At 38.3% G+C, this 12004-nt stretch overlaps 1 protein-coding gene across 26 annotated transcripts in view; it reads right to left on the bottom strand.

Annotated features, from left to right (window-relative positions):
• Positions 1-12004, bottom strand: part of TDRD1 (tudor domain containing 1) — a 57793-nt gene that overhangs the window by 16231 nt on the left and 29558 nt on the right. For 17 of the 26 annotated variants that reach the window (XM_011539962.2, NM_198795.2, NM_001385365.1 and 14 more), the window contains 7 exons: positions 11543-11714; positions 10106-10192; positions 5688-5855; positions 5469-5576; positions 4400-4570; positions 2848-3090; positions 2322-2459 (listed from right to left, as the gene is read on the bottom strand). In XM_011539962.2, the coding sequence (XP_011538264.1) occupies positions 2322-2459; positions 2848-3090; positions 4400-4570; positions 5469-5576; positions 5688-5855; positions 10106-10192; positions 11543-11714 (1087 nt within the window). The remainder of the gene's footprint in view (positions 1-2321; positions 2460-2847; positions 3091-4399; positions 4571-5468; positions 5577-5687; positions 5856-10105; positions 10193-11542; positions 11715-12004) is intronic. The other 9 variants (NM_001385366.1, XM_011539964.3, XM_047425489.1 and 6 more) reach the window with 1 other exon arrangement.

Below are 12004 nucleotides of genomic sequence, written 5' to 3'. Positions count from 1 at the left end.
GATCAATGATGCTCATCAGAATGGCTCAAACAAAAAAGAAAAAACACAATGTTTGTGAGGATGTGGAGCAACTAGATGTTAACTTAGGTTAATTAAATTAGGATAAACCCACACAGTGGAATACCATGTAGCCATGAAAAAGAATAGAGACTAAACAGCAATGTGGTGTCACAGAGTGGCTCCTGAACAGAAAAAGGACACTAGTGAAAAATCTAGCAAAAACCAAATAAAGTTTGGGGTTCATTTAATGGTAATATACCACTGTTGGTCTCTTTGTTGCGACAAATGTGCCACGATCACATGCTAACTACAGGAGAAGCTGGGTGAGGTGTATACAGGAACTCTATGTACCATCTTTGTGACTTTCTGTATACCTAAAATTATTCCAAAATAAAAACTGTTATTTAAAAAGAGACTGGAGAAAACAGTATGTGAACTGATATCCAAAATGTAGTGGAAGAAAAAATGCAAAAATTACTTACCATTTTATACTGTTGATAGATATAGAAAAGGATTATATATACTCATACAAGCATATGTATAGAGTATCTCTGAAAAAATATTTGGAAAATTGAGAAGAGGAACCAGGAAACTTACTTTGCACTATATACACTTTTGAAACATGTTTTCATGTTTCCTTCTTCATCTTTAGAATTTTTATATTATGTTTGTATAATCACCTTTAAAAATAAAAAGGAACTTCAAAACTGTAAATTTTATCCTATATGGAATGGTGGCCTACCAACCAGATGATTCTGAATGAAGAAATGACAAATCTCACAACTATGGGGTCAGACAGGGCCTTAGTTATCTACTTTAATGTCCTTATTTGACAAAGAAAAACCAATATTTGGAAAACTTAAGATCAATGATGCTCATCAGAACGGCTCAAATGAAAAAGAAAACACACAATGTTTGTGAGGATGTGGAGCAACTAGATGTTTCTGAATCACTTCAGAAACTGGCCTTTGTAGATGGGGAAGCTGCAAATTTACATACCCTTTATGACCTAATAATTTCATTCCTAGGTTTGGACTCCATGAAAATGCCTGCACATGTGCACCAGATATGCTGTAATGTTCACAGCAACACTAATTTACAGCCCAAGCAAAACAGGCCAAGTGTCCAATGGTAGAAAGAAACTGCAATACAATTCACAGAACACTATGCAGCAAGGAAAAATAAGATACAGATACATGTAACATACAATGGAACACTATGCAGCAAGGAAAAACAAGGTACAGACATGTAACAATCTCACAGTGCAGGGGGCAGCAGCAAGGCTCAGAAGCTCGCATAGTGTGTAATTCCATTTCTAGAAAGTTCAAAACCAGGAAGAACTTATCTATGCTATTAGAAAGCAAGATGTTTACTTTTGAAAGAGAGAGGTGGCAGCTTGGGCACAGTGGCTCACACCTGTAATCCCAGCACTTTGGGAGGCCGAGGCAGGTGGATTCACAAGGTCAGGAGATCGAGACCATCCTGGCTAACACGGTGAAACCCCACCTTTATTAAAAATACAAAAAAAAAATTAACTGGGCGTGGTGGCACATGCCTATAGTCCCAGCTACTCAGGAGGCTGAGACAGGAGAATCGCTTGAACCTGGGAGGCAGAGGTTGCAGTGAGCCTACACTGTGCCACTGCACTCAGGCCTGGGCAACAGAGCGAGACTCCATCTCAATGAAAAAAAAAAAAAAGAAAGAAAGAAGAGGTAATGATGGGAGGGGATAGGAGGGAAACTTCTGGGATACTGGTAATGTTTTATTGCTTGACTTAGAGGCTAGTTATACAAGTGTGTGGAGTTTGTGATAATTCATTATGTTGTACTCCTATATACACATGTATCTATACGTTACACTAATACTTCAACACAAGTTAAATTTGTTTTTTGTTTGTTTGTTTGTTTTCCAGAGACACGGTCTAGCTCTGCTGCCCAGGCTGGAGTACACTGGTATGATCAAGCCTCACCGCACCCTTGAGTTCTTGGCCTCGTCATCCTCTTGCCTCAGCCTCCCAAAGTGTTAGGATTATAGGAGTGAGCCACTATACCAGGCCGAATTAATTTCTGTAAATGAATTTAGGAGATACTCTATGAAATGTAAACTAGTTTAAATATAAAGAGGTATTGTTGAAAATAGAAATAATGGCTTAAAAGAGAATAAAAGCTAACTAAGTATAACCAAATCTTTCTTGGAAATACAAATACCACTTGGCTCTTCTTGGAAAGAGGTACTTTTATCACTTAGTAACAAACTCATGTGAAGTTATTATCTATGCCAATGTATTTGTAAAAAGAAACAAATGACAAGAATCAACTTACCATCCTCTTTAAGCACATGGCAATAAAATTCTCCAGGACTATATATCACACAGACCACAACATCTACTGTTTGGTCAACACCAAGTTCAACCCATGTCCACTCCAATGGATTTACTTTTCCTTCCACACCCAAGGGAACTGTGAAAATAATTAAACATTAAATGGACATAGTGGAGGAGGGATGTAGCGAGGTTGGGGTGGCTGAGGAACCCGCTTTTGAAGAACTGAATTTCCACTGACTTTTTAAGTGCCTTTATAGGAATATTAACCGTAAAGTCAGTCTTACAATAAATTATTATCTAAGTAAATTTCAAATTTACATTTCTGATCATCAGCTGCTGGCAACCTATAAAACTCCCCATAAAATTTTATTTTTCAAACATTCTTACAAGTATTTAGATGAATGCTTGATTTAAAAAGATGAAAGGCATTCAACATAAATTCTTTTTATAAGTACAAGAAACTATTTATTTATAGAACCATCTGAACTCCAGAACAGGCATTATCCAGTAAACATTTGACTTACCACTGGTTTCTTTCACGTCACTGGGTTTATCTGTCACCATACTCTGTTCTCCCACAGCAAAGCCTGCATCTAGGAGAACTTTGCTAACACTGACATGAGGCGTCTCGGATTTATCAATAAGCTCCACCAGGGAACTGTTTTCCAACTTGTCCACCACTTTCACTGTGATTATTTTGTTCTGTACAAGTTTTTTCATGAGACAAATAGCTTCTGGAGTCCAAATTCCTAATGATGGCTTTACTCCTAACAAAGAATTTTGAATGAATGTTACAATTATTCTGAAAGCATTTAGAAATTTAGCTCCTAATTTCCCCCAAGGTAAACTTAAGAAACCTATGGCAAACACTGGAACGGAAACGTGTCACTTAAGAAGAACATAAAAATGAATGCATAATTAACAAAGAAAAAGCCTGCTGGTGGGCAATGGTTCATTCCAGCACGCCGGGAGGCCGAGGCCGATTTGAGACCAGACTGGGCAACATGGCCAGACTCACATCTCTACCAAGAAAAAAAAGAAAAAGCAAAAGCTTGTAAAAAGCTTCTATAATATGTAAAACAAAAACCACGTAATTCCATTGATACACAATGTCCAGAAACACAAATCTACAGAGCCAGAAAGTAGATTAGTTATTACCTGGGGAGCAAGGACTAACCATTAATAGGCACGAGAGACCATACCAGGGTGATGGAAATGTTCTAAATCAGATTACGGTGATGTTTGTACAACTCAGTAAGTTTACTGAGAATTACTGAATTGTATAGTTAACACCTAAAGTGAACATTATGGTAGGTAGGAAAATTATAGCCCAATAAAATTAAGAAAGCCATAAACAAAAGTATAAAACAATCTCTGAAGAAGTACTGGTCCCTTATATTAACATATGAAACATTGGTGGCACTTACAACTCAACACTGAAAGGGCACTTACAAATCAGCAATCCAACAGTTATGCTTCAGTCAGTTTACGAAATGCAAGGGCCAAGTAACTTACAAAACAATGTTTAGCCTCACTAGTAATGAGGCGAATTGAAATTTCACCTTTAGCTTATCAAAATTGGCCAGGATGAAATAATATAGAAGCAACCCTTTGATGCACCAATGTGTATGAGAATGGACTCTCTCATACTTTTTCGTTGGGCATGTAAACTAGGTCAACCCTTTCTGGAAGAAAATGTACAATATGTATCACAAACATGAAAAGAAGGAGACTTACTGACCTGTTCCACCTGTGGGAATGTAGCCTAAGGAAGTATTTTGGGATATAACTATATCTTGCAACACAGCCTGAGGAAAAGATCTTGGATATGCTGCAAATGTAATGCCCTCTGAGATAGGATATTCTTTCTAAATTATGGTACGTTTGAATGAAGCCAACTAATTGACATGGAAAGAAATCTCTGATTTCTTTGGGATAAATGACATTTATAGTAACTTTTAAGCATCTGATCATGATGTTGTTTTGAGAAGCAGCTTTTCCCTATTTCGTGTATCTTTTCATGTTTCTTCATCTGTAGAATTTTTAAAGAATATGGAGGCTATAAAAATTTCATACCTGCTAGTACACACTTTATAGCTTGCATTGGCAATTCCAACAACTTTGGGATTATGGGACAAAGTCTCATCAAACTAAGGATTTCAAAGTTTCCATAATCTACATATCCGACCAGTACAGATTCTTCAGAAGCGTAAGCCAAAACAGAGGCACGGTACCACTGATCATCCTCTGAAAAAGGGAGAGACTCAATCTCAAATGATTTTTCCACTGTAGATGTAAATAAAAACCTTTCTTCCTCAACTTAGAGATGGTCATTTATAGATTTTTCTTTAATAGATATCAAGCTTATAGAACAATGTTTACTAATTTTGCTTATCAGAAGCCTTCAACTCCTAAAATGTAATATTAATAGCTTACTATAGTAATTATGTCTTACGCTGTAATCATTAGTTTACATGCCTTGTCTCTCCAGTAGAGTTAGCTCATTAGTACAGAGAACATATCCTGATCATGTGAATCACAAGGTCTCAATCAATACATGAAGCATTCAATAGCAAGACTAGTTTTAAAACACCTGGCAAGCATGAGTCAACCAGACTCCACTAACCAAGTGATGAATTTACTGAAGGATTACTGCGTCTCCCCTTCCATGAGGCCACCGGGCCTCTCTTCGGCAGAGAGTAACAGAACCTGGTTATCGCAAGGCAGGACTTGTGCCGTCCAAAAGCTGCACCATGACAGCTCCACACTTCCAGGCCCTCTTGCTATTTCAATAAAACCGGTGAAGATATGAACCTGGGGAGGTTCCACATCCCCCTATTAGCTTAAACCAAATTATCTTTACCAGTCCCCAAAACCAAAAGGCTGACAAAATAACCAAAAATACCTCCTTTATATCTCCACCTCCTTGACACACAGACGCTCTGCCCTTACCCAGGTCAGACCACACTCCTTTCAACCAGTTTAATTTGATCTATTTAAAAACATGATTGGTTCACTCTAATATTCAAGCTTTAAATCCAGCCATCAGTGCAAACCAAAGACTCTGTTTCAATGGTTTTTACTCAATTCTAAGTAAAAAATAAATAAAAATAAATTTTAAAAATCAGTAATACTCTGTCCTTACCTGAGAACTGAGCACAACATATATCACCAATGGCTGGATAAAAATCAGAGCGTGGAGGCAACTGATCACAGTACTTGCTAAGGGATGCCTGAAGTTCAGCAAGCTTTCCTGCAGATAAAGATCACATCTTAAAGAAATACGTATCTATACATTATTTCTACATGTCAAGTCTCTTGAAGTATTTTAGCTTCATAGAGCAAATCAAGAAAGCTGACTTACGGCCACTTTGCAGTTGTTGACAAAAGAAGTCTTCTGGTGTTTGAATGTGGGCAACCACACCACAAAACTCATCACCTACATTCAAAGTTAACACTTTTGGGATTAGGTCACTTTTGTCTACGACAATGTTGTTTTCAGTTGTCATTTTTCCAACATCTTCAGGATCACCTTATCAGAAGAAAACAGAAAAATAAGCCATTTTGTTTTCATCCAAAGTAAAAAAAAAATTATGCACGCTTTAATCATTTTAAAACGAATATGACTATGACTGCAAGGTTCCTGGAAGATGGCAGTCTGAGAGGTCATGGTGTTTCTTCTTCCCAGTAATAAATGTTTATAATAAGCTCAGTTTTCGATGTCACCAAAAGCTAGACTGGTCCAAGAAAGAAAATCAGCGACTTAGACAAGTTCAGATCTAATTAAAACACTCTATAATACACTCTTTATAGTCCCTAAAAGAGTTCAAGAAAATGTAATTTGGAATAGATATCGTCTCATTATACTCAAGTAGAAACACATCAGATTAGATTAGGACCTACTCACTCTAAAGTGAAAATGATAAACCCCATAGGGAACAATTTATTAGGATAAAATAATTAGAAATTTAAAATGCATTCAACAGTTCAAAAAAGATACAAGCAACATAAAGTCACAAGTCAAGAGAAAAATAATTAGGGCTAACCTAAGAGTTTAAGAAGGAAAGGCTTCAAAAGCACAGTGAAAAGTATCTCAGAAGAGAAAACTCACAGAAATGAAAAAAGTACATGGTTTATAAAATTCCAACTATGCAAGGAATATATTTTTAGCATCAAGACTTAGAGACATTATGGCAACTTATCAGAATCCTGGAAAACAAAAACTACTACTGTTTTAAGGAATTAAAGGATAAGATATCATTCACATAAAACTAAGGCTGACTTCATTGTTTTAAACACAGAAATATAAGAAAATAATTATCTAGATTATAGACTTATTAAAGGAAATGGTTCTCACCATGAACCTATAGGTTGACTCTGAAGACAAAGGGGAGGCTGGGATAGACCACAAAAAGTGGAGGGAATTTCATATCTAGGAATGACCTCTCAGAATGTGTTACAATCGATTGTTGAAGTTATGTTAGAAATCCCATTGAAATGGATAATTGGCTCAAAACAGTAGCCAAAGTAAATTTAATGATCTCAAGTGTAAAAGTTAAGAGATAGGCTCAAATTAAAAACCATTTCTTAAAATGTTTCCAAAAGAAATCACAACATAAGGGAGAAGGCAAGAGAAAAACTTAATAGCAAGGAAAATGAACTGTTGTCCTGTTGTTTCACAGCACAGGATGCATAATGGTGGAAAGAGCACTAAACTGGAGTAAGGGGGCTGAGATTCTGGTTCTCTATCTCCAGGCTTAAGGTAACCCACTGGACCAGTCAGCTTCTGCTTCTTCACGTGTACATAGGTGGAGTGGGAGATCTGGATAGTTCCATTCAGCTGCATGAGTCCATCATAAGATCCTCCATGAGTTATTGTTTTTTTAAGAGGTCTTGCTATGTTGCCCATGCTGGAGTGTGGTGGCTATTAACAGGTACAATCATGGCATACTGGGGCCTCAAACTCCTGGTCTCCAAGCCCTCCTCCCACCTCAGCCTCCTGAGTAGCTGTGCCAGCTTTTAAAAATTATATCTGGCCAGGTGTGGCTCACGCTTGTAATCAGAGCACTTTGGGAGGCCGAGGCGGGCAGTTCACGAGGTCAGGAGATGGAGACCATCCTGGCCAACATGGTGAAACACTGTCTCTACTAAAAATACAAAAAAATCAGCTGGGCATGGTGGCGTGCAGCTCCCACCTACTAGTCCCAGCCACTTGGGAGGCTGAAGCAGGAGAATCACTTGAACCTAGGAGGCGGAGGTTGCAGGGAGCTGAGATCACAGCACTGCACTCTAGCCTGGTGACAGAGCGAGACTCTGTCTCAAAAAAAAAAAAAAATTGTATCTTAAACATCTAATGTATGTCAGATGCCATACTAAGCAAGTAGTTAAGTAACTACTAAGAAGTAGTTAAGTAAAAGGCCACAGTCTTTGCCTCTAGATAGTCTAAATCTTGTAGGAGACAGAAGATGTTCAATCAGGAGCTACAGTGTCATAAATAGCACAAGAGGGTGCACAATCATAATGCCAGGCTGAGTGCAGCTGGGCTTAGGAACACAGTAGGAGGAGAGGGGACAAAAGCATGGTGATGTCGCTAGCTCGGTATGCTGACATTAGAGACCAAGTTGTAAAGGCTTTCAGCCAGGCTAGGTCAAGAAGGGGCAGGACAGGAGGACTGATTTAATTGTGTGACAGAGGCACAGCTAAATTTTTAAGAAGGTGGTTTAAAGGGAACTCTTAATATACCATATCTCATCTTTTCTGACTTCCAAATCTGATTCTTCCATACCCACCAACATTACTTGAATCCAACAAACTGAATCCAGAGGTATCTCAAGGCTCCATTCTCTATGTTGGCTTCAGAATCATGTCCAAACCCCTTAACACAGCTCCTGCGACCTTTAATGATCCGCTCTAGCTTACCTCCTGACCAATACTTCCCCATCCTATACCTCTTCACCAGCAGTCAAATCTAGCCCTACTTATTTTTCAGTTTCTCAGGCCTGCTCATGCTTTTTCCCTATCTCTAGGCCTTAACACATGTTCGTTTTCTTGCAACATACTCCCCACTGGCAGCACCTGGTTATTTCCTGCTCCGTGTGGCATCACTTCCAGATGGCTTTATTGCAAGTCTTAGGTACCCTCCCACCTGCTTCCGTTGCACCCTGCACTTCTCTATCACACCTAATTTCTCTATCCCACATAATTTCTTCTGCTTGTCTGTACTGGCCTTAGCCTTCATGAAGGCACCTTCACAGTGCCTTAGCGAAGAAGATATTGCTCAGTGGTTTTCTTGTTCCTTCCACTGGATACCTTCATAGCATCTGATATTACTGATGACTCCCCCTCCTGGAAGCATGTACCCTCTGTTGCTCTGGCAAGGTTTTTCCCATTCTGTTCCCACCTTTCCCATTATAGCTCCTCACTCCATGTTGCAGGCCCCAGCTTCATCTTCCTCATTCTTCCTCACTCTATTGCACCAGAACCTACGGTTTCAACCATGACTACCACTAGACCTCTGTTTGGTTTCCTTCTCTAAATGACAAAGAACTGAAAGCTTTTCATCAGAGCTGTCCCACCAAGATGTGTGTTCTTAGGCATATCACATAGGCAAGTACTCTAAGAATGCAGATAGGGAGATAAACTATGACATTGGAAAATTGTTTCAATTGTCCATGAATGATGAGGATTCCTGAGCTAAGAAAATGGTAGTAGGGAAAGAAAGAAAAAAGACATATACAAGGGATACTTGGGAAGAAGAATCAATAAAGACTTGGCAACCAATTAGGGCAAAGGATGGGAGGTAAGAAGGTAGATTTAAGGATGATTCCAGTGTGCTTATGTGATAGGATGTGTCCAACCACGGCACTGTTACTCTAGCAATCACCTCTGGATGAATGAGTAAGAGACAATGAATTATATCTACTCCTAAAGCAATCAGTACAGGAGCAAAGTAAAGGATCAAAAAGATAATACAAACACAGGTGATTAGGCAATGAGGAAGTAAAATGCTGAAAGCAAAATTTCTTGGTTCTCTTGTTAATCTAAATAAACCACACACACAAGCTTTTACAGGAGTAAACAGTCATCAGAAACACTGTCCTACTGGAACAGAATTTTGCAGCCCTATTAATTACTGGTGGAATACCCAAGAAGGAAGAAAAACAAACTAAGAAAATGTGAGCTAAAAAGCCCTAACTTGGCAGGGCGTAGTGGCTCACGCCTGTAATCCCAGCACTTTGGGAGGCTGAGGCGGGCGAATCACTCTCAGGTCAGGAGTTTGAGACCAGCCTGGCCAACATGGTGAAACCCTGTCTCTACTAAAAATACAAAAAATTAGCTGGGCGTGCTAGCGGGAGCCTGTAATCCCAGCTCCTCCGGAGGCTGAGGTAGGAGAATCACTTGAACCAGGGAGGCAGAGGTTACAGGGAGCCGAGACCATGCCATTGCACTCCAGCTTGGACAACAAGAGTGAAACTCCATCTCAAAAAAAAAAAAAAAAAAACAAACCCTAACTCTAAAGTGTTATGATATTTAATACTTCATAATCTCTGATGATTACCATGTTAAGGATTCATGTGGAAAATGGACAGAGGAGGAGAACAGGCAGGAAAGATTGAGATTAGAAATGATATACTACTAAATATAAAACAGCGTATTTAAATTGCTCATAGGATGTTTATCGTTAACAAGTCTTAACAGTGCTAAAGTTGTGCCTTTGTTTAGTAGGTAGATGGTCTTCAATAACTGAAGTCGCTATACCGTTCAATATCAATCTATACTCACTTTGATCTGCATTTTCCTTCTTAGAATCTTGTCCACTGGGTTTCAAGCCATATCCCATTTCTATAAGCACATGGTCTAAAAGTTTTCCTAAAAAGTGATTAAGAAAATATGCCTCCATTGAGAAACTATACAAAGAATTATGGGAAAAGCGTAAAGAAGAAACAAGTCAATCATACAACACACGTTCATAGCTATTAATAGGTTGGTATATGTTTTGCCAATTCAGTTCCTATGGGTAAGCTATGGTAGTGCCCAGCTTAAAACACTGAGGCAAAATTACTGTAGTCACTTGACAGAATTTTTTCTCTGAAATACAATTTTTAAAATTTTTGTGAGTACATAGTAGGTGTACATATTTATAGGTTACATGAGATGTTTTGAAACAGGCATGCCATGTGAAATAAACACACCACAGAGGAGGTAACCATCCCCTCAAGCATCCTTTGAGTTACAAATCATCCAATTACAGTCTAAGTTACTTTAAAATGTACAATTATTATTGACTACAGTCACCCTATTGTGCTATCGAATAGTAGGTCTTATTCAGTCTTTTTAACTATTTTTTGTTTTGTACCCATTAACCATCCCCACCTACTCCCAGCCCCTGACTACCCTTCCCGGCCTCTGGTAACCATTCTACCCTCTATTTGACAGAAATTTTAACAAAAAGATCTCACTTTGAAATCCTGAAGAACACGAAAGATTTGTTTACCACCTCACAAATATGCTTAGAATGACTACTGTTTGTGGGAAATTAATTTAAGACATAAGTATGGCTGAAAGAATGGTCAGCATGGACCCAAACTTCAAGTTCCCTGAAATAATATGCAAAAGCTGAGATTGTAACATGAAACATAGCAAACAACAGATTTTTACTTAACTTCACAAGAGATTAGCCGATTTTCTACCAAATCAGCCATGATGCCAGATCTCTGAAAGCAGAGGGGTGATACCCTGGAAACTGGGAGGCACCCATCACACTGTGAGAAGTCATTTATCAAACAGGTGAAAGGCCAGAAGGGAAGAAGAGAATTCTAAAGCATTTCCATTTCCACAGCTTAGCTACTATGTACTAGCCAAATGCAGTTCCGTGAAGGTTACTCCAAGAAAAAGCACTGATATAAGGACAAACTAATTCAGAGAACTTCAAGAATTTTCTCAATAAAGGGGCCAATATTCAGGAGTAGATATTATAATGGCTCTATTAAAGGGATCGTAGTTACACCCACATGAAGTCTAAATCTAGCCAGCCACCTAATTCTATGAATTTGTGTCATGTCTTTGACAAACTGCCAATTTCAAGAATGGGTTCAGTCACAATCTGAATGACTCCAGAGGGCAGTTTACCTGGCCTCACTTGATGTTTCCGTTTCTTCTGAGTAACAGGTGGAAACTACATATCCTATTAAGTACTCAATTTAAAAAGACAGATCTTACCTGAATTTGGCAGCTCAACTTCTACAGCAAAGGTAACCACTTCCTCTTCCAAGATGTCGACAATCTTTATGGAGCAGTACTGCTCCATTAACAGTGGTTTAGTAGCTTTGATACAATCACTGCTCCAATTCCCTTCTGCTGGGATAACATTGGCTACAAAGCACTTTATGGCCTGAAAAATTTTACGCAGGTTACTTACAAAAATTACCATTTAAAAATGATTTTTTCTAATTATTTGTATATAAAAGAATGTATTTCATGCTGAAAACTTATCACAAATCTTCAAGTACTAATCAGATAGACAATTTTCTGTATAATTATTATTAGCCTCTGTTAGTACTGTATTCATAACGCTTACTTTTGGTACTTGAAGCTGGAGAAATTTATGAAAGAATAATTATCCTTCAATTATACATAAATTAAGACCAATTTTAGATACTATAATATAGAAATGATTATTTT

Source organism: Homo sapiens, chromosome 10 (assembly GCF_000001405.40).
Source record: "Homo sapiens chromosome 10, GRCh38.p14 Primary Assembly".
Lineage (NCBI taxonomy): Eukaryota > Metazoa > Chordata > Mammalia > Primates > Hominidae > Homo > Homo sapiens.
This window is presented reverse-complemented; position numbering and strand designations above follow the sequence as displayed.